The sequence below is a fragment of the Homo sapiens genome, chromosome 13 (genome assembly GCF_000001405.40).
Source record: "Homo sapiens chromosome 13, GRCh38.p14 Primary Assembly".
Classification (NCBI taxonomy): Eukaryota; Metazoa; Chordata; class Mammalia; order Primates; family Hominidae; genus Homo; species Homo sapiens.
In genome coordinates, this window is record NC_000013.11 from 23,927,067 (window position 1) to 23,949,333 (window position 22,267).

The following is a 22,267-nucleotide window of genomic DNA, read 5'->3' on the forward strand; positions in this document are numbered from 1 at the left end:
TTAATTATTTTCACTAGGAAAACATCAAATAAGACTGTGAGAGGTGATAACATACTATCTAACATAATAGAAAAGGGTGGGTTTTTAGAGAGTCATTACAAAACAAGACGATGTTTAGACCTTTTTGCTATGATTCTAGAAAGCAAACTGTTAAAATTTAAAAATCAAATTCTACAAAAAATGTTAAAAATAGCATTAATACTGAATTTGTTTATCCATCTCATTTATTTGCAAGGTTTTAAAATTTTGGACCATTCCTACTGTGAAACTCTACCTTATGCAGCATTTTTTAACTTTAAGGAAAATGATTATAATATTTTTCTAGTATGTGATTTCAGTTGTACTGGTTGTTGAAGCAAGTTTTTATATGTTTGTAAGTTAGCATTTCTTGTATCTCTCCCCATTACATGAAGTTTAGCCTTGCACTTAACATTATTATATTAATAATAGCTTATTACATGTGTTTTGCTAATTTTTGCTTTCAATTTTTATTCTAGTTTAATTCTGAGATGGTTTGTTGTATATATCAGAAGTAATGTCAGAGTTTTATTGGTTCTTTACTCAGTATTATTATAAAATACAAAAATCAACATTAGCCTGAACAGATCCATCACTTGGATTCTTCTGCATATCAGAATATTTTCTAATAACTTAAATCTTAAAAAATTATTCCAATTTTATAAAATAAAAAATTTATCTAAAGTTTATTTTAATTTTAGTTCTTTTGACCACTTGGTGCCTGTGGATGGTTCAACTTTTTTAACGTTCAGAAGCTGTTTAGTATTTGTGTGCCTAACACAGCGCATGGCACACAGTAGTCACTGGGTAAATCCTTTTTAAAAATGCTTGATACAGGAAGACTCATTTTTACATGGATTGGTTTTAAACTTTTGGTGATTACTGACACTTTCAAAAGATTTCTAATTATTAATTTAAGGAATTTTTCTACTTCTCAAATGTTCATTTAGTTTAGCAATTCTTTTTCTAAATGGGATTTTACAGACACATCAAAGTTAAAACAATGTTTCTAAGATTTTGTTTTTACATGATAGAACATTGTGTCTCCTCAGAATGTTGAGTTGCATGTTTTTCCCAAATAAAATAGTCCTTTTTGCATCACTAAGGCAATGCTTGTCTACTCTGAATTTTAACTCAATCAATCATAATACTTATGCTAATTACTCAGAGAGCAAAGACAGTTTGATAAACTTCTTTATTATTTCATTTTTAGGCTCTATATAATTCTTCCTGTTTTCCCTTTATCCACTTAGCCAAATGCCCAGTAGTCATTTTATACTTGGAAGGTTTCAGGTACCCTCTCGAATTCTTCTAATTACTTTTCTCTTAGTTTTTTTTTTTTTTTAACTAGGTCTTTAAATATATGTGTGACTCTATACTTAGTCCTTCAGCTCCTCCATCAACAGATGATTCCCCAGTTATTTTCTTTGTGACAAAATACATGTGTTTCATCCTTAGAAACCAACAAGTGTACTTTCCTTCATACATGAACCTATTTACAATTTGTCATTGAATTGCAGTGGTTTAAATGGGCACACATTTGATTTTACTGCATTTGAGAACATACTTATTTTTTGTAACATCTGAGTGCTCCTTAAAATAGAGAATGATATCAAATTTTAATTTTGAAACATCAATACCTACCGAAGGCATATTAACTATGGAACTATGTGTGTGTGCTGTGTATTTATCGATATGGTCTGAAAAAGTGAATGCAGCAGTATTTTCCAACCTCTAATCACAAGACTAATTTAACATCAGCCTATCATTAAGTTCTTGTTGAATGAGTGAACTTTGTATTTGTTTGGCTTTGCTATTTTTATTGATTTCACTATATAACTTTTGTCTAAAAACTTCCAACTCTTCACCTGTTTAAAGTGAGGGTTGTGTTGAAGAATGTACAGTAAGAATACAAAGTCAAAGAAGAAGAAAACATTTCAATAAGTGTTGTGTAGTCACCTTTCTTGTTGGGGTTATTTGGAGGGGAGGCAATAAATAATGCTCCTCTTTCCCTTTTGAGATCAGAACATAGGAGTCAGACATATGGAGTCAGACATAGCTGCTTTATTACTCACATGTAATGACTAATAGGAGGATATGGCTCAGATGAGCAGCCAGAGTGGGCTTCTGAATACTTCAGATTAGTTTAATTCCCAGATTAGGCACTTACCCACACAGTGGTAAGTGGAGAAAACAGATGCTTAACACCTATCTCAGGAGCAGGCAGCTTACTGCAGAGCAGCAGACCTGAATTCGTATCACTGTGGGCAGACACATATTTTTTTTTTTTTCTGAGACGGAGTCTCGCTCTGTTGCCCAGGCTGGTTGGAGTGCAGTGGTGCGATCTTGGCTCACTGCAAGCTCAGCCTCCCGGGTTCACACCATTCTCCTGCCTCAGCCTCCCGAGTAGCTGGGACTACAGGCTCCCGCCACCACGCCCGGCTAATTTTTTTTTTTTTTTTTGTATTTTTAGTAGAGGCAGTGTTTCACCGTGTTAGCCAGGATGGTCTCGATCTCCTGACCTCGTGATCCGCCCACCTTGGCCTCCCAAAGTGCTGGGATTACAGGCGTGAGCCACCGTGCCTGGCCGGCAGACACATATTTTCAAAGTAACACAGAGCCAAGCAAGCACATGCAATGTACTTCACACAAATTCACCCATTAGGTAAATCTTCCCTCCCCTCCAAAGAAAGATAGACAGAGTGTAAGTTCTCATTTGGAAACTTAAGGCCAGGGAAATGAAGATTCTCATATCATTTCTGTGTGGATTTAAATTATGATAGAAATTAAGCCAATGTCTTAATTTCTATGTACCAACTATCGATAACAGGTTGTATGTACCAACTATCGGTAACAGGTTGGATAGAAGTATACTAGATGGTAAAGAGAAATGTGTCTTACGTTTTCAATTTTGCTGTGAATAACCCACAATGTGGATAATTCTTTTGTTGATTGATTTTAGTAAACCAACTCTTATTTGGATAAATATATAGTTCTGTTAAAGAAACAGCTGAATTTCTCTAATTCAGCTTGCCTGGTTCAACTGAAGTTTTCCTCCTTCAAGTTCCCTTTTCTGTAAAATATTTTTGTTCTTTACAAAATAAATTGAGTAGTGACTGCAACTAACAAAGATGTATTAACAGTTGTTTGTTAATTTTTATTCATGACTTCAGAAATCATAACTTAGCTAGAGAACTACCTTTTATGTCTCTTACCCAAACGTGATTGAGTTACATGACAGTTTTACATATGCATTTTCCCTGAGTTATATTTAAAAATCTATACATTTTTCCTGAATACGCAGGAAGTAGCTGGCATAAACTTCAAGTTCAGTAAGAAAACTTAAAGCCCTTTCTTGGGTTGGAGCTAATGGGCTTAATGACCATAGGCAAGCTATAATCTCTCTGAGACTGTGTTACCTTGTACGTAAAATTAAAAAGTTTGACTAAATGACTTTCATAACTGAAAATTTTTTTAGAATAAAACTTTTATTTGTAAAAAGCTACATGAAGGAATTATATATATACACACATTTTATATGTGTATATATTTTATATGTGTGTATATATACATATTTCATATTTTATGTGCATATATACATATTTCATATTTTATGTGCATATATATACGTTTCATATGTATACATATAAAATACATATACATATATGTATATTACATACAAGTCATGTAAAAATGTACATTTTACATAGTGTTCATTAATGATAATATAACATTCTTTCAATAAAGGCTTCTCCCTTTACCTGGTATTGAGTTATCACTTTTTTTTTTTTTTGAGACGGAGTCTCGCTCTGTCGCCCAGGCTGGAGTGCAGTGGCGCCATCTCCGCTCACTGCAAGCTCCGCCTCCCGGGTTCACGCCATTCTCCTGCCTCAGCCTCCCAAGTAGCTCGGACTACAGGCGCCCGCCACCATGCCCTAATTTTTTGTATTTTTGGTAGAGAGGGGATTTCACCGTGTTAGCCAGGATGGTCTCGATCTCCTGATCTCGTGATCTGCCTGCCTTGGCCTCCCAAAGTGCTGGGATTACAGGCATGAGCCACCACGCCTGGTCGAGTTATTACTTTTATAAAACCTTTCTTGTAATGCCATTGTCATGTCATTAATTTTATAAGGGCTGTCTATAATGTTATAATCACAGAAAGATTATGGAAAACTGTCTCTCAAAATATTGGGAAAGCTATTAGTCAAAAATTTGTAAAGGCATTGTATATCATATTGTCATTATCACCAAAAAGTCTTATGTTTAGTAAACAATTTCAGATTCTTTTCTGGGCATTCAGTGAGGGAATACCTTTTGCACCAAAGATTTAAATAAAACACTAGATGGGAGACACTTGCAATATAATTTGAAGTATCCCCACAATTTCATAACTAAGTAGATAACTATAGTTAGCTAGATGTTTCAAAAATTGGTTCTAATTTCTGAAAAGCTTAAAAGAGCTATATACAAATATAGAGCTATATATTGTTTCTTTGTTTCTAATTCTAACAGGTCATGAAATAAACCAAGTTTGTAAACTGGTTCTAATATATATTTTTTTCAAGTGAAATTTCCAAAATCTTTTTTTCCATATGAATAAAAATGTTAGTTGTAATACAGATAGAATAATATGATTACTTAATATTTTACCAGTAGAATTTTCACATATTATGACAGTACCACTTTCTTCAGGTACATATTTAAGATTCTGTCCTGAAAAGTTAATAACATGGAATGTATCTAAAATTTTAATTTTCTAAAGGAGGAGAACGGAAAGTTTATTTTAAGGAGAAATCTACCAAAATGAAAAGAAAACACAGATTGAATTCTTATAAAGGGCAGGCAGAGTTTTGCTAAGAATTAGAAAATAATGCATTTGTTGCAAACTATGAGTCGATTTGCTTAACCTTTGTAACTAGTAAAAGAAAACCTCACTCTTCTGAAAGATGTACATTCAGTAGACCAAGGTTAATTGTAACTTTTATCAGACTAATGTCAACAGCATTACACATATATATTCTCTTTTATCTAAACTTAAAATAAGTAGGAATTTTATTTTATTTATGTAGTTAATTTTTCTATTTAGGCAATCCTCAAGTTAGGTCTCGTCTCTACAAGTAGGAGAGATGACATTTTGTAAGTGATATATCATTTCCATGGTAATTTCTCTTGTGTAACTTAAACATTATAAATATTTGGCTTATTTCAGATTCAGCAAGGATTGATAGAAAATAAAACTAGAGAAATAGAAGAAGGTATATTGCCAAAATTTATTAACTAAATTTAGCTTGATTACTGAAATAAACTGTAAATAGCAAATGGCTTTCCTCTCCATTGTCTGGTTCATAAATGCTACAGTAAGTATTTTTTCTTATGCACATTTAATGAAAGATAGAAACACATACTCATAATGAAGAGTATACTTTTGCCTCATTAATTTATCATGTTCCATAGCTTTAAAAAGGTCTCAAAAAGTCTAAGTATCTCTTTTGTTTTGGCTCTACATAGTCTTCACTTCTGCCATCCCTATGGAACTGTCAGGCAGCACGCTGAAACTGAATTCAGGAAACAAAGTCGTCATCTTCTTAAAGTCATAGTAGTAATTTAAGGCCAAAAGACCAGAGTCATCTGATAATACTTAGCCAAGCAATTACAGTTCAAAAACAGTTATTTGACAGATGACATTCTAAATCTCCAATTATTTACTTTGTCATTGGTTTACTTTTGTGCTCAGGAAATGCTCTAAGTTGCTTGGCATGCAGTGAAAACATCTCCATCAACTTGGTTCTTGTCAAGTTATTCAGCCTTGTCTTTTGCCACATACCCTACTCTACCCTTGTGCTCTAGCATCCAGCCAAACTAGACTACATAGATTTCCACAGTGCTCTTGCTCATCTCTTTGCATTTGCTTCTGCCCTCTGTCATACTTTTTCCTTGTTTTTCAGATATGAACCTATATAGTGCCTCCACCAAAAAGCCTGCAATATTGCAATATTGACACAAAACTGGGATAGGTGTCCCTTCTGTGTGTTCCAATAGTGTCGTGTTGTATACCTGTCATGTTATCTATGATTCTGTAAGGAAATTGCCTGTTTGTTTTTTCAAGTTGTAGCATATGATTTTTGAGGAGTGAACTGATCATCTTCATCTTGTCATTCCAGTGCTTATTGTCACATGGTTGCTGAATACAGGAATGAAGGGTGAGAAAACTAGAAGCTCTGGTACTTAACCACAGTGATAGTCAATTCAAAGCACACCTACGGGCAGATTATATTCAATATTAAATAGTTAATTTTGTATTGTGGTCATACATATTTTTCCTTCCTATTGACACAGATAAATTTCTCAACTTTTTTTTTACTGACTGACACTTAGCTAACTGTGAAATATTTTAGGTAAAGAACATCATTCTTTCATTTTCCTTCCAGGTGCTGCTGAATTTGAATCTGAGTCCTCTATATGGAATCTATCCTCTTCTGCAGGATCTACTCAGGATCTGCTGATGAGTTACATCTAAATCAAGTTTGAAAAGCATCATGAGAATATGCAACAATTTTTTTTTTTTTTGAGATGGAGTTTCACTCGTTTTGACCAGGCTGGAGTGCAATGGCTGGATCTCAGCTCACTGCAACCTCTGCCTCCCGGGCTCAAGTGATTCTCCTGCCTCAACCTCCGAAGTAGCTGGGATTATAGGTGTGCGCCACCATGCCCAGCTCATTTTGTATTTTTAGTAGAGACAGAGTTTCACCATGTTGGTCAGGCTGGTCTCAAACTCCTGACCTCAGGTGATCCTCCCGCCTCGGTCTCCCAAACTGCTGGGATTACAGGCGTGAGCCACCGCGCCTGGCCGAAAATATGCAACAATTTTAAGAAAAATTACTTAATGCATTCAGACCCGTGGATTGCATTTAGTTCTTCTGTCTCTTAGACTTCGTCTGGAGCAGTTCCTCAGTTTTCCCTTGACCTTATGACCTTGAATCTTTCAAAGAGTAAAGTCCAGTAATGTAGAATGTTCGACAATTGGGTTTATCTGATGTTTCATTGTGATTAGATTTAAATTATACTTTTTAAAAAATTCAACTTTTAGTTCCAGGGAGTACATGTGCAGCTTTGTTACATGAGTATATTGCATCATGCTGAGGTCTGGGGTACAAAGAGATTTTACATTTTTGGTAAAGTGTATCACAGAAGTGATCCTGTAATCGTCTCACTGCATCTTACCATGTGTCCTACAATTTTGATTTGTCCTGTTAATTAATATCTTGTGGGGAGGTAATTTGAAACTACGTAAGTATCTCTTCCTCATAAAACCTTCAATTTATTCATTTACTTGTATCAATAAGGATTCATGGGTTATTTTCTCCAATAGTGTATAATTTGTTAATTTTTAAAAAACTTTTCTTTTAAGAAATGTTATATTTTGACAATTTCAGACTTTTTAATACAATGTCATGACTTCTTTACTTCTTGGGAGCCTTCCAGCATCAATGGTGGCACTCTGTATGGGTCCCGTGGTGTTATTTGACTCCACAGTATTGCATTAAAAACAATGAAAAATATGTAAGAACCATAAATCATCACTTTTTCCCATGAGACACAATTTCTTGGATGGATGAACTGCTCATGTGGAGATGATTAGCATCACAAAGCATTTTAAGGAAATACTTGCAACAGTTCTGCTCACTGCAGTACCACAGGTGGCTATGAAATCATTCCAGTAGTACAGTGTACACTATAGTTAATTTTACGCAGTTATGGTTTAATGCTGCATCTTTGTTTGTTTACCTTTCTCTTGGCTGTGAATGGTGCCACATACCATGTGTAAATTTTAATAAATCGTATTTTTTATAATAGATTATATATATTTTATGGTAGTAATGATGAAATACATGAGTATCTACATATATATTATGCATTCATGACATAACTTTTTCTTAACTTGTTTATCTCTAGGCTATGCAGCTCATCTATAAGCTGTTTCAAATTGTCACAAATCTCCAAAAAAAATTTCAGTCTATTTATTGAAATAAAAAGCTGCTTGTAAGTAGACTCATGCAGTTCAAACCATGTTGTTCAAGGGTCAACTATATTTGTAATTCCCTTTTCTGACACAACCTGGCTCCCTTCATCCTTAGTATATAGTAAGTCCTCACTTAACATGATTTAATAGGTCTTCTTGGAAAATAAGTGGAAGATGTGAAACGAAACCAGTTTTAACTGTAGGCTAACTGATATAAACAAAAGATCTGTTCCTATGACACATTTCTGGCCAAAAAACATCACCAAACATGTCAATACAGACAAAAACACTTGTAATATTAAACATTAAAATGAATGCTAGCTCTGCATACATTTAAGGAAGAGTAATAGATACCATTCATCCAATTTTTGGTGAATCAGTGAGTGATGGCGATTGTAGTGGCAGTGGGTTAAATCAAGAAATGAATGCTGGCAAGGTGCATTTTGTAAGAATCACCTCCTACCTCCATGCAGTCAGAACCAATCACAAATATGGCAGGTTCATGAAGCACTTTTGTACCAAATCGTTGTGTATTGCAACATCTGTGATTATCATGGACTTCACAAATTTTTATTTTATAGTAATTTGCACTCATTTATTTGTTCCTTGTCCAACATGCTTATTCCAGTTCAGGGTAGCAGAGGACTGGAACCTATCTAGTGGCTCAGGGCCCCAGGTGGGAACCAACTCTGGACATGCTATTGTACAGTGCACTCACACACACCCGCAGTCACTCACACTGGGACCATTTAGACATGTCAGTTAACCTGTGCCCAGTTTTGGGATGTGGGAGGAAACCAGAGTATCTGGAGAAAACCCAGGCAGACATGGGGAAAACGTGTAAACTCCATACACACAGTGGCTTTGGCCAGTATATATATTTTTGTCATCAATGTTATAACAAAATGACATTATTCCAGGACTTGCTGTTATTTATTCATTTCATCTCCTGTGTGTAACCAATCTCCTGTGTCCTTGCTCCTACGTAGGTATACTCTTCACTCCCACTTGGGACTCTTGCACCTTTCATTGGTTGCCTCCACCAATTTTCCTTCCAAATGGATGCCATCTTCACCCCATCCTTCCTCAAACACCCTGTCCCAGGCTGCCCTCTTAGGTAGATGACTTATCCTTACCCCCCTAAGATGCTGAAGACCCATTTTTCATCCATCTGTGGGTGGCTCCTGATATTGTTCAGTCTTTGATACCTCAATTTCTTTTGTCTACCTTGCAGAAATGCTCTCAACTGTCTTCCAGCACTGTGCAGGGTGACACTCTGACACTTAGGCCCTTCGCATTTAATTCATGCCACAATCCCTAACTCTGGGTCAACACAATTCCCTGTTTTGTCCCCATACTTGTGAGCTGAAATATTCAGGAAGATAAAGGAGGAAAGAACTTCACATACATTTTATAGTCAAAACGCTGAGTTTACAAAGCAAGGGTTTTGACTGGAATTGCACTGAATGTATAATTTAGAAAGAGAAGGCGTAATATTGTTTCCCCAAACTATTAACATTTTAACAGTCTATCTTATTAACTCTCAAAGTTTAAGAAATTTCTCATAGAGGTTGTGCATATATTTTTTAGATTCCTAAATATCTCATACCTTTTCTATCTACTCAGAAGGCTGAGATGCGAGGATCACTTGACCCAAGGAACTTGTCGCTTCAGTGAGCTATGATTTTACCATTTCCTTCCAGTGTTACAGAGCAAGATGCTGTCAAAAAAAAAAAAAAAAAAAAGAGCCAGGTATGGCGGCTCATGCCTGTAATCCCAGCACTTTGGGAGGTGAAGGAAAATGGACCACCAGACGTCAGTAGCTTGAAACCGGCCCAGTCAACATGGTGAAACCCTGCCTCCACTAAAAACACAAAAAGAAGCAGGGCCACCGTGATGGCAGTGTAATCCCAGCTACTTGGGAGGCTGAGGCAGGAGAACTGCTTGAACCTGAGGGGGTTGGGGTTGGAGGTGGAGGTTGCAATGAGCTGAGGAGCTGAGAGAGCACCACTGCACTCCAGCCTGGGCAACAAAGTAAGACTCCATTTAAAAAAAAAACATATAATCATTTCAGTAGACGATGAAAACAATAAAATTCAACGTACCTTTATGATAAAAACTCAACAAAATGTGCAAGAAGGAACATATCTCAGCATAATAAAGGCCATATATGATAAACCCACAGCTAACATCATGATCAATGCAGAAAAGTTAAAAAAGCTCTTCCTAAGATCTGGAACAAGTGTGGTTACTTTTACCACTTTCATTCATCATAGTGCTGGAAGTCCTAGCTACAGCAATTAGACAGGAAAATACAATAAAAGGCATCCAAATTGGAAAAAAAAAGGAAGTCAAATTGTCTCTGTTTGCAGCTGATATGATCATATGTAAAGAACCCTAAAAATTCCACCAAAAAAACCTACTAGATAAATTTAGTAAAGTTGCAAGATACAATATCAACATACAAAAATGAGTAGCACACCCATGCACCAATAGTGAAACACCTATGAAAGAAATCAAGAAAGCTATTTCATTATAAAAAATGATACGTAAGGACAAACAACCAAAAAGGTGAAAGATCCCACAATGAAAACCATAAAACATAGATGAAAGATAGTAAAGCAGACACAAGTAAATGGAAAGATATCTCATGTTCATGCACTAGAAGAATATTGTTAAAATATCTATATCACCCAGTGTGATCTACAGGATCAATGCAACCCATGTTAAATTACAAAAGACATTCTTCACAGAAATAGAAAAAAAAAAACCTAAAATTCACACGGAAATGCAACGTACCTCAGATAGACAAAAAAATCTTGAATAAAAAGAAAAAAGCTAGAGGCATCACACTACCTGATTTCAAAATATACTATAAATGTATAGTAACCAAAACAGCATGGTGCTGGCAAAAAAAAAAAGAATGAGGGAGCAACAGACAAGACATAGACAAATGACAGACAAATAAAACAGAATAGAGAACTCAAAAGTAAATTTACACATTTACAGTCGACTCATTTTTAACAAAGGCACCAGGAACACACATTTGGGAAGGACAATCTCTTCAATAAACTGTGCTAGGAAAACCCAACACCCACATGTAGAAGAATCAATCTAGACCGTTATCTTACCATATACAAAAATTAACTCAAAATAAAGATAACTTCAATGTAGGTCCTGAAACTATGAGACTACCAGAAAATAAAAAATAAGATAAATGCTTCATGAAATTGATTAGGACAAGGAATTTTTAAATAGACAACAAAAGCACAAGCAACAAAAGCAAAAATAGACAAATGGAATTGCATTAAACTTAAAAGCTTCTGCAAAGCAGAGGAAGCAATCAGTAGAATGAAGAAACAATCTAGAGAACGGAAGAAAGTATTTACAAGCTATGCATCAGGCAAGGGGTTAATACACAAAATAGATAAAGAACACAAACTACTCAAAAGCAAAAATACATATAACCTGATTTAAAAATTAGAAAAAGATCTACCCAAAACCTTTGTCCCCCACCATTATTTCCCCACCTTCTTTTCCTGACAGCCTTCAGCTCTCTCGTCATCACCCTTTTTCTTCATCTACCCCAAAACTTTTTCCCCACCATCTTTTTGCAAAGCCTTCTTTACTCTCCCGCTCACCACCCTTTTCCCCATCCATCTACCCAAAAGTTTTTCCCCACCGTCGTTTTCCCCTCTCCCTGGCCACCTTCTTTTTCCCTCTCCAGCTCTCATCACCCTCTTTTGCTCCTCCATCTACCCAAAAACATTTCCCCCATCTTTTCCCAAAGCCTTCTCCCGACTCCTGCTGCTCACCACCCTCTTTTCCCCCTCCATCTTCCCAAAAACTGTTTTCCCCATGTCTTCCCCACCTTGCCACCCGCTTTCCCTTCTCCATCTATTCAAAAACATTTCCCCACTGTCTTTTTGCAAAGCCTTCTCCCAACTCCTGCTCACCATCCTCTTTTCCTCCATCTACCCCCCAAATGTTTCCCCACCGTCTTTTTACAAAGCCTCCCCACCAACTTCCCACTCGCCGTCTTCTTTCCCCTAACCTGCTTGTCACCCTCTTTTCCCCCGTCCATCTACCCAAAAACTTTTTCCTCACCATCTTTTCTTTCTCCATGGTCTTTCTGTCCACCGTCTTTTTGCAAAACCTTGTCTCCCTCCCGCTCACCAACCTCTTGGGTAGAACAGGGACAAGTAAACTCAAAATCCCACTTGATTTTGCTATTCATAAGCTCCTTATCTCCCACTTTCCCACCAAGTCATTCTAGATTTGAGAGGAGTCATTAGACTCTTATTTAAGTGGCCGTTTCTGCCAGGATGGGTAATAAGTCAGTTAACATCAGGTGAACCAGTCCCCAATATTTCAATGTAGGTTCTTTTCTATTTTCCCTAAGTATTGGCCGGTCTGAGAAATAAGCAGAAAGAGTACAAAGAGAGAAATTTTACAGCTGGTCCTCCGGGGGTGTCATCACATATTGGTAGGACTGTGATGGCGACCCCGAGCTGCAAAACCAGCAAGTTTTTATTAGGGATTTCAAAAGCGGAGGGGTGTACGAATAGGGAGTGGGTCACAGAGATCACATGCTTCAAAGGGCAATAAAAGATCACAAGGCAAAAGGGCAGAGCAGGATCACAAGGCAAGGGTGAAATTAGAATTACTGATGAGGGTCCATGTCCCTCTGGGCATGTATTGTCTTGATAAACATCTTAAAAGGAAACTGGGTTGGAGAGCAGACAACCGGTCTGACTAGAGTTCACCAGGCTGGAATTTCCCAATCCTAGTAAGCCTGAGGACACTGCAGGAGAACAGGGTGTATTTCATCCCTTATCTCAACTGCATAAGACAGACAATCCCAGAGTGGTCGTCTACAGGCCTACCCCTGGGAATGCATTCCTTCCCCAGGATTATCAATTATTAATATTCCTTGCTGGGAAAAGAATTCAGCAATATTTCTCCTACTCACACGTCCATCTATAAGCTCTCTGTGAGAAGAAAAATATGACTCTATTTTGCCCATCCCCACAGGCAGTCAGACCTTATGGTTATCTTTCCTTGTTCCCTGAAAATCACTGTTACTCTGTTCTTTTTCAGGGTGTCCTGATTTCATATTGTTCAAACACGCATGTTTTACAATTTGTACAGTTAACACAATCATCACAGGGTCCTGAGGTGACATATATCCTCAGCTGACGAAGATGATGGGATTAAGAGATTAAAGATAGGCATAGGAAATTATAAGAGTATTGATTGGGGAAGTGATAAATGGCCATGAAATCCTCACAATTTATGTTCAGAGACTGCAGTAAAGACAGGCGTATTAAATTATAAAAGTGTTAATTTTGGGAACTAATAAATGTCCATGAAATCTTCACAATTTATATTCTTCTGCCACAGCTTCAGCCGGTCCCTCCGTTTGGGGACCCCGACTTCCCACAAGTTAATTTGTTCCGCCTTCTGCTAAAGTGTTTCTCACTTTGTCACCACATATTCACTGCCAATCTGGTTTCCTCAGAGTCCTCCTAAAATTAATCCATAGGCAAGTTTCAACTCACTCTCATTTTCAAACCAAAAATTATTAGACCCAAAGCTAAAGAGCACCTTGTCTCAACACATAAACTAGAAGAACAACAAACTAAGAAAAAAAACTCTTCTTGGCATTTTCCCTCATGACCTAATTTCCAATTGACCTGCATATTTCTTATTGCTCTCCTTTTCCCTTCCCATTTCTCCCTCTTAAGCCTTGCCACTGAGAGATGATACGTCAGTTTGTTAGAAAATTGTCAGCAGCAGCAAGATGTCCATTTATTTTAAGTTGCTTTAGTCTTGTTTGAGTTTTAAGATAAAGCCTATTTCCAGGGCATATTTTCTTTCTTGTGTTGTTTTACACTAATTAGGAAAAAAAGGAATAAACCTGTGTAGAAAAAAAATGGAAAAGGTTTTACTTTTAACAAATTCGCAAATATTTTCCAAAGTACATTTAAAAAAGCTGTGCCCTTTAATGGTTCTTTAAAAGTATGAATTTTGAAAATAAAATCTTAGACAATTAAGTTATTTCAAAATAACTTAATTTGCACTTGCATTCAGGGAATGCTTGAGCTTCCAAATACTAACAATTGACCCTTACCTATGTCAATGTTAAAACAAATATGTTGAAAAGAAAGTTGATTGATCTATACCTTGTCCAGTGCTTCAGTATTTGCATCATGGGAAAGCAGTTTTTTTGCCAGTGATGTGCTCTCACTATACACAGCATACTGGAGAGCAGTGTTGCTGTAGACATCCTTAAGGTTTGGATTGGCGCCACGTTCCAGCAGAATAATGGCACAAGCCTCTTCTTGGCAATGCACAGCCTGTGCCTGTTAGATGAAGAAGTAGATTGTAAACTCTAAGAATTCAAAATACACATTCTACAGGTTTCACCAATTCGTTATATTTAAATGAGATCAATTTATTTTAATTCTATATGTGTAAATCAAATCCATGTCATGCTGAAAGAGTTGGCTACTATATACCTGTATCAAAGGCACACTCTTTTCTTTGTCACAGATGTCAATTTGGCATTGTCTGTTCACCAGGAGAGTGACCACTTCCACATGGCCGCTGGCACAGGCCAAATGTAGAGCAGTTCTACAAGAATAAGAGGACTTTTTAGGAAACCGTAGTGCAATATCTCAAAACATACGATCATTCATGTAATTGTAAACATTGAATAGCATGTTTTTCCTCTGCCTTCAAAACAAATAATTAATTTTTTTAAAGGAAAGTACAATACTTATTAGCTCTTATTGCTCACTACCTTAATGAAAACAGCAGCCTATCTGAATAGAACGAGCTCGGTCTTTGGATTCAGTTCAACTAGGGCTTGAGTCCTACTTTAAACCCTGTCACTTACCAACTATTGCTTAGCCTTTCTGTGCCTCAACTTCCTCATTAATAAAGATGACAATAGTAGCTTTCTCAAAGGACACCATCGTGATGCTTAAATGAGGAACTATGTAAAGTATTTAGAATAGTTCCTACAACAACTCAATAATTGTAATCATTGTAAGATTTTTGTTTTTTGAGACAAGATCTCACTCTTTTGCCCAGGCTGAAATGCAATGGTGTAATTCTACCTCACTGTCGCCTGGAACTCCTGGGCTCAAGTGATCCTCCATCCCCAGCCTCCTGAGTAGCTGGGACTACAGATGTGCACCAGCATGCCCAGCTATTTATTTAAAAATTTTTGTAGAGTAAGAATTTCACTTTGTTGTCCAGGCTGGTCTCAAACTCCTGGCATCAAGCAATCCTCTCCCCTCAGTCTCCCGAAGTTCTGGGATTATAGGTGTGAGCCACTGCACCCAGCCAGATATTATAATTACTACTATTACTACTACTTAACAAAAACATTTTAATTAAGTAAAATGATACAATTTACCTACTTTGTAGGATGACTTAACGAGTAGTTCACATTTTAACACCTCTGATATTTGAATGCCATTTATGATTCATGATTTATTACAACTATAATTGGTAGCATTTTAAAAATTATCTTATTGATATATAAAATTATGGGGCATCACACAATCCATGAGACCTTACATTAAGTAGAATATGGTATACTCAGCAGGTCTAAGGCAGTTCTAGGCAGATAACTGGCACTTCAATACATTTTAGTTCTTAAAGGGGAACTATGGGGAAAGAGCACTGAAATAACAGTAACACATATTTTAAACAAATTAATTCTTTGATTTTCAAACAACTTGAAGCCAAAGGAAACTCATGATTCAAATGAATACGCATGGCTCATTATATTCAATACTTATATTTACAGAATATATGCAAATAAGACTTTCCAATGATGAATATTAGTATTTAAGACTGATAAACTTTTGAAAGGGCAGTTAAAGATTATCTTCTACTATTTTCTAACTTCAGAAATGCTTTTGTTTGAAAGGTGGGAGATAAAGTTTCAATGAGATTAAGTCCCGATATTCTCATTTTAAATCTCTCAGCTTGTGCAGGCAGGGAGGTAAACATGCAGTTTTTAAGGATGGAAGGGTTCTGAGAGATAGAATACGTCTGCTATATAACAGGTACTCAGGTTATGTTTGATGAATAAATGGAATAAAAGAATAGATAAATACAGTTGCGGAGTTCAGTATTTTTAAATAAACTCCTATAAAGCAATGTTTTTGCAATAGTAATTATTTGTGTTATTTTTATTTTTAAAGAATACAATTAAAATGAAATGATTAATCTATCATTGTTTGCATAAATGGAATGAATCTACACATAAGAAAAACACGTACGTAATAAATATATACATAATAACATCAGGAAACAGATAAAAACTTTCCATTTTCACTTACGAAGAGGCTAAAAGTTCAAAGAAGATAATAACACACACAATAATGATAAAAAATAGAAAGCGAGAAATTATTTTTTTCTGTGCAAGATTTATATTCTTCTCTTCCGAAAGATTATTCCATTAATAATAAACCTATACTAGAAGTTTTGTACATGCTCACTGCAGCAATCAGATAAGAAAAAGGAAAAAAAAACTTTACCTAAAATACAAATGCTCAGAAATTACAAATTTTTATCATATTTTTACATATTTTTTGCTAAAATAAGACCACAGTATGTTTATGTGTATGCATAATCGAACCAATTTTTTTTCCTTGCTGGCTATAACAAAATACATCTTTGCACATCAACGTACTTCTGTATCTATTGTCACCTTCAACGGTCACACATTATTCCATTTTATGGATGCAACTGAAATTTATTTATAGGATCCATTCTGTGGGTTCTTTCTAAAATAAGTGCTGCGAAAAATAAAGTGCATGTATCTACTTCCTAGGGGTATTTTAGTATAACGGAACTCATGGGTAAAGGACATACATTTTTAAACGTAGCGCTTTATCTATTTGAAAAGTAATCAGCAACTTAAACTTTAAGCAGCAGTATAAAACATCCTCACAAATGTTGTGGATAGAAAACAGTTTCATTCCTCTTTTAAGTTCTTATACCAGAAATGCGAAGGATTTTTTCCTATGTACATAAGTAACTTGTAGATCTGGAAAAAAGTACTTTGCCCACTTTTAGAGTTTTTGATGATTTGATTTGAAAGAATTCCCTGTAAAATGAAGATGTATTTTTCATCTAATGTGTATATATACATATAACTTTTCATCTAATGTGTATAAATGACACATACAACACATTATATCTGTAACATGTTATATTTATCAGTAATATATATATATGATATATAATAAAGAATATAGACCAGGCACGGTGGCTCACACCTGTAATCACAGCACTTTGGGAGGCCGAGGTAGGCAGACAACTTTAGGTCAGGGGTTCCAGACCAGCCTGGCCAACATGGTGAAACGCCGTCTCTACTAAAAATACAAAAATTAGCTCGGTGTGCTGGCATGTGCCTGTAATCCCAGCTACTTGGGAGGCTGAGGCAGGAAAATTGCTTGAACCTGGGAGGAGAAGGTTGCAGTGAGCCAAGATTGTGCCATTGCACTCCTGCCTGGGCAAAGAAGCGAGACTCTGACTCAATATATGATGAATTCCCTGTAAAATGAAAGCATACTTTTCATCTGAATATATATATGATATAGTAAATATTTTTCAAGTATATTCTTTTATTTTGTTAAGTTTTTTCTGAAATACAGGCAGTTTTAATTTTTAGTTTGCTAAATAAACCTTCAAATGTCTGCTTGTGAGGTCATTCTTAGAAAGGCCTTTGTCAACATAAAATGTACCTGGAAAATAAGTGTTTGTATTTTGTTCTGGTACTTTTCTCATTTGCGTATATAAAAATTTCAATCTGTATTCCAATCTGTATGTTTGTGACATGAAATTTCATTAGTTTTCTTCAAACAGCAGACATTTTTTCATTAATAATTTATCCTGCTCATCAGGTCTTATATCTTAAATAACTTCAGTGTTTCTGGGTTTCCTATTCTGTTCCATGCCTTTATCTGTCTTTTCAGCTGTTAGTAAACAATTGTAGAAATAGCACATTTTGATATCTAGAGGAGCAAGTGTTTTTTCACTCCATTATGAAATTTTTTTAAATGTCATCACAATAGTAAAAGACAGGTGTCATGCAAAAATGTTAAAAGCTTGATATTTTCATTCGGTTTATGTAAAATTGATAAACACAGAAAGAGCTCACATTTTGAGAAAAATGTGTGTTCCCATTCAAGAACACAGAACCCACCTCCCACTTCCAAGCTTCTAAGAACCTTTAGTAAAGAACCTATCTACAGAGGTGGATACAGATGTAAAACGGACAGTTTAATGAGAACTTTTTGCCTACTGAAAATAACTCACGGTATTTTTGATAGGGGAATGAGTTATCTCATTAGGCACCTCCTATAACGTATATAACACTATATTTTAAACGTGTACATTAAAAATAACAACATCGTATATGCTTAACTTTATGAGTTAAATCACTCAAATTCTCCATCAACTGCTTCAGCCAGGAAATCATGAGGGATGGTAAGCAGCTGAGGCTTGATTTGGCTCCGCGGCTCCAAGGGTGCCCGGCCCCATCCAAGGCCCCGTCCCATGGGTTGCGGGGAAGCCGGGCCTGGGGACCCCCCTCTCACCCTGGGCTGACCCCAGCTACCTGTGCTGCTTGTCCCGGGCCTCCAGGTCTCCGGCTCCTGCGCTCCAGGCCGCGCTCCACCTCCGGTCCTTGACAGCCGCCCTTGGATTTTCCGCTGTTCCGCGTCCCGGATTCGGTACCCGGAACCGTGCAGACGTGGTCTATGGAGCCCGGGCCATCTCGCCCCCGCGGCTCCCGAAGCCGAAGAACTTCTTGGTGGTGGTGACTTCTCAGACCCCCAACCACCGGCTCCTGAGCAGGGGCTGCTCTCTGTCACCTTTTCACTGCCCCCCACCGCCGACCCGGCCCCAAATCCAGGATCCAACCCCAAATCCCCGATCCAATCCTCAAATCCCCTATCCAGCCCCCACATCCCTGATCCAACCCCAAATCCCCAATCCAATCCCCAATCCGCGATCCCAAATCTGCGATCTAACCTAGAATCCGCGATCCAGCCCGGTCCACCACAGCCTTCAGCAGCGACACTCAGTCTCTGACCTCTCCGACAGAGTGAGCCTCGAAAGCCCTTGAGTGCGCGCCTGCACCGCGGTGGCCGTCCGGCTCCCGGAAGCCTCAGAGGACAGGACATGCCCAGGTGGGAACTGGGCTCCACAGCACAGCTCAGCTGTGGCTGCAAACCGTGTGTCCAGCCCAGAGCCAGGCCATCCAACTCCCACTCCCCTCTCGCCGACCAATGCTGGCTCCTCCATTCCTTCACCAGGGTCTTGGGGCCTTGGGACATCTTTGGGACCTCTGCTCTCCCCAATTCCTCCCCCTGCAGCTCCAGGCCCCCAGCCTCAGCTCACATGCCCCTAAGGACAGGGCGTTCACTCTGCTAGAAGCACCTCCGGCTGCTGGGTGCACCTGCTGGGTCGATCAGGCAGGCCCCACCCAGACAGCACCCGCTTCAGCATCCCCTCTCTGTCCCCAATGTCAATGCATACCCCCGCTGAGCCCAGCCCAGCTCTCAGTGCCCAGGACCCCTGAGGCTCAGATGGGCAGATCAGCAGGGGCACATGGAGCTCCCTCCTGCACCCCCCAGGATGGGACCCACCTGGGGAGCATGTGGGTGGGGGTCCCATCTCCAAGATCTAGAGAGGTGCAGGTGGGATGTGCCCCAGCTGCAGCATGGCCCTCTCCCAACTCCAGACTGTCCTAACCCTCAGTGACCCCGCACCCTAGAGTCAGGGCAGTGCTCTGTCCTCGGCGGAGTCCGGTGGAGCCTGGACACAGCTTTCCCCCCCGTGTTGGCGTAACCCTCAGCTGTCCCATGTCAGGGTTCCCTCATCTGCCCCCTTGTGCAGTGGTTCCTAGAGATCACTCTCACAGGCATCAGGTGCATGGCCCAAGGTCAGTACCAGTGCCCCTGGTGCAGTGCCCGCTGTCCAGTCCACACTGGCCACCCTGGCTGGCTGCAGTAACAGAAGCCTCACTCCCTCTGGCCCCCACTCCCCTCTCCCACACAGGCTGGCCACTGGGCTGGGGCACGTGGGCTGCCTGCCTTGTGCTAAAAATGGAACCCCAGACTTTCTGGATTTAATAATACAATCCTGCCCCACAGGGCCCTCCCCATTTTCTGGGCACACCCCAAACATCTTCCATGGGAGAAATTGGTCACGTGAGCCCATCCCTGATGCCCGAGGAGGGATGGGCTTGCCAAGGCTCTTCCCCCAGTTCCCAGGACTGCTGCCAGCACCCCACTGGCACAACTCCCCTCAGCACAGTGGGGGAGATGCTGCTGGGTGTCCATTGGGAGCCGGCCCCAGGGGCTGCAACACACAGCAGCACTTTCCTGTAGCCATGGCTATGCCATGGCCGTGAGTGACCAGGGCTGTTTCTGTCCAGGAGACACACTGTCCTGCACCATGCACTCACCCTCCCCTCTCCCTGCCTACCCTATTCAGGCCTGGGCTGGGGATCCTGAGCCACAGTGGCTCAGCCACCAGCCCTGCCAGCCGCCTGCCCAAAAGCATGCTCCCCAGGCCACCCAGACACGAGGAGCCCAAGAGAGCTCTTCCCAGGGCCATTCAACCACCCCTCAGCCTCCCTTCACCCTGCCCTGCACTTGGAGAGGCTCTGTGACCCACCCCCCACACAAGAACTCACAGGAACGCCCTTCTCTTTTTGGGAGAAAGTTCTGCTGGCATCAGGGACCACTGAGGGAAGCGAGCACATGGAGAGCAGGACTCGGGTCCCCCATGACTGTGCCCCAGCAGCCCCACTGCCAGACACTTCTGAGCTGCCATGGGTACCCGTTTCACAGGTAGGGAAACCGAGGCTCAGATCCAGGGAGCAGCAATATGTGTGGGCCCACCCATCTTTCTCCACAAGCCGCAGGAGCCCAGCGGCAACAGTGGGGAGACCCTGCTCTGCCTGCCCCCACCCTGCCACTGGCCTGCAGGCTCCCCCTGGGATGTGGCTGCCCACCTGCAAAGCTATGTCCTCGCCACCCAGGTCTGAGTTGTGCAGAGCTGGCTCCAGTGGCTGTAGGTGCTACAGTCGCAGGGCCTCAGGTCTTCACACCCCCCATCTGTGCTGCCACAGCCAATGGCACTGAAGACAACTGTCCTCAGATGGGGCTGCTGGCCTGGGGGTTGCCACTGCCAAGGGTGAGCTGTCACCTTCCAGGATGCTCAGGTTGGGGGAGCCTGGTGTGGCCCCAACCACAGCCCTCTCCAGCCCCTGCTACCTGCAGCCCATCACAGGAAGCTTCCATAGGCAGGGCCCTTGGTTTGCCCCTCACCTTCTTGGTCTTCAATGTGGGGGGCTGAGAGCCATCCTGAGATGGAAGCTGGAAGGAGAGCAGGACCCCAGGCCTCACTTGAATCAACCAACTGTGGTGAGCCAGCCCCGCCCCTCCCGCAGCCTGCCTTCGGGCAAGGCCGCCACCACTCCCCTACCATGTCCAGTGGTGCGCCCCACAACAGGGGGCCCAGCTTGTCAGGGGAAGGACCTCTGAGGAATGGCCATGTCCTTGTCTCCAGAGGGCCAGGTGCTCGGCCTTTCTCCTGGGCCCAGGGTCAGAGCAGGGAGGAGTCTAGGGCACTGTATGGGCTTGACCTGAGGCTCACAGAGGATGCAGCCCCCAACCACTGGTGCCTGGGAGGCCAAGGAGCTGCTCCTGCAGGGGCGGTTGAACCCAGTCCTTCTGCTGAAAGGCTGAGCTCCTGCAAGGCCTCCAAAGGCTCACGGGAGAGTAGGAGAGATTCCACGGAGACTGTGCAGAAGCTGCACGCCACAGCTTCATCCAGCCCTGGCTTCTTCCACCAGAGGCGTGAGGGCTCTGTGTCACCAAGAGTGTTGGCAGCTGATTGGGCTCCATGCAGCATGATGGCTTTGATCTGAGCCCCAACACCAGCCTTGGCCTCCAGCCCCCTTGCCAGGCCTGTTCTGCCAGAGCTCCAGCCTCTCTACTCTTTCCCTGGGGAGGCCACATCCCAGGTGGGGTGGCAGGTTTGGTTTCCCCTGATGGAGGAGAGCCGAGTGCTTCTCCATCAACAGTGGTATCAACAGGGACGTCTGTCTCTGCTTCTAAGGCCACCTGCCCAACTGCTCTTCCTCTCCAAGGCTTGTTTTCCAAACAATTTGCTTAATATGATTCCTGG

At 40.3% G+C, this 22,267-nt stretch overlaps 1 pseudogene across 1 annotated transcript in view; it reads right to left on the reverse strand.

Annotated features, from left to right (window-relative positions):
• ANKRD20A19P (ankyrin repeat domain 20 family member A19, pseudogene) overlaps positions 1 to 22,249 on the reverse strand; it is a 42,032-nt pseudogene extending 19,783 nt beyond the window's left edge. Inside the window, exons 1-3 of the transcript NR_073430.1 lie at positions 18,684 to 22,249; positions 14,560 to 14,674; positions 14,224 to 14,403 (exon numbers count right to left, since the gene is read on the reverse strand). The product of NR_073430.1 is annotated as an ankyrin repeat domain 20 family member A19, pseudogene (transcript). The remainder of the gene's footprint in view (positions 1 to 14,223; positions 14,404 to 14,559; positions 14,675 to 18,683) is intronic.
• Between the last annotated feature and the right edge of the window lie 18 nt (positions 22,250 to 22,267).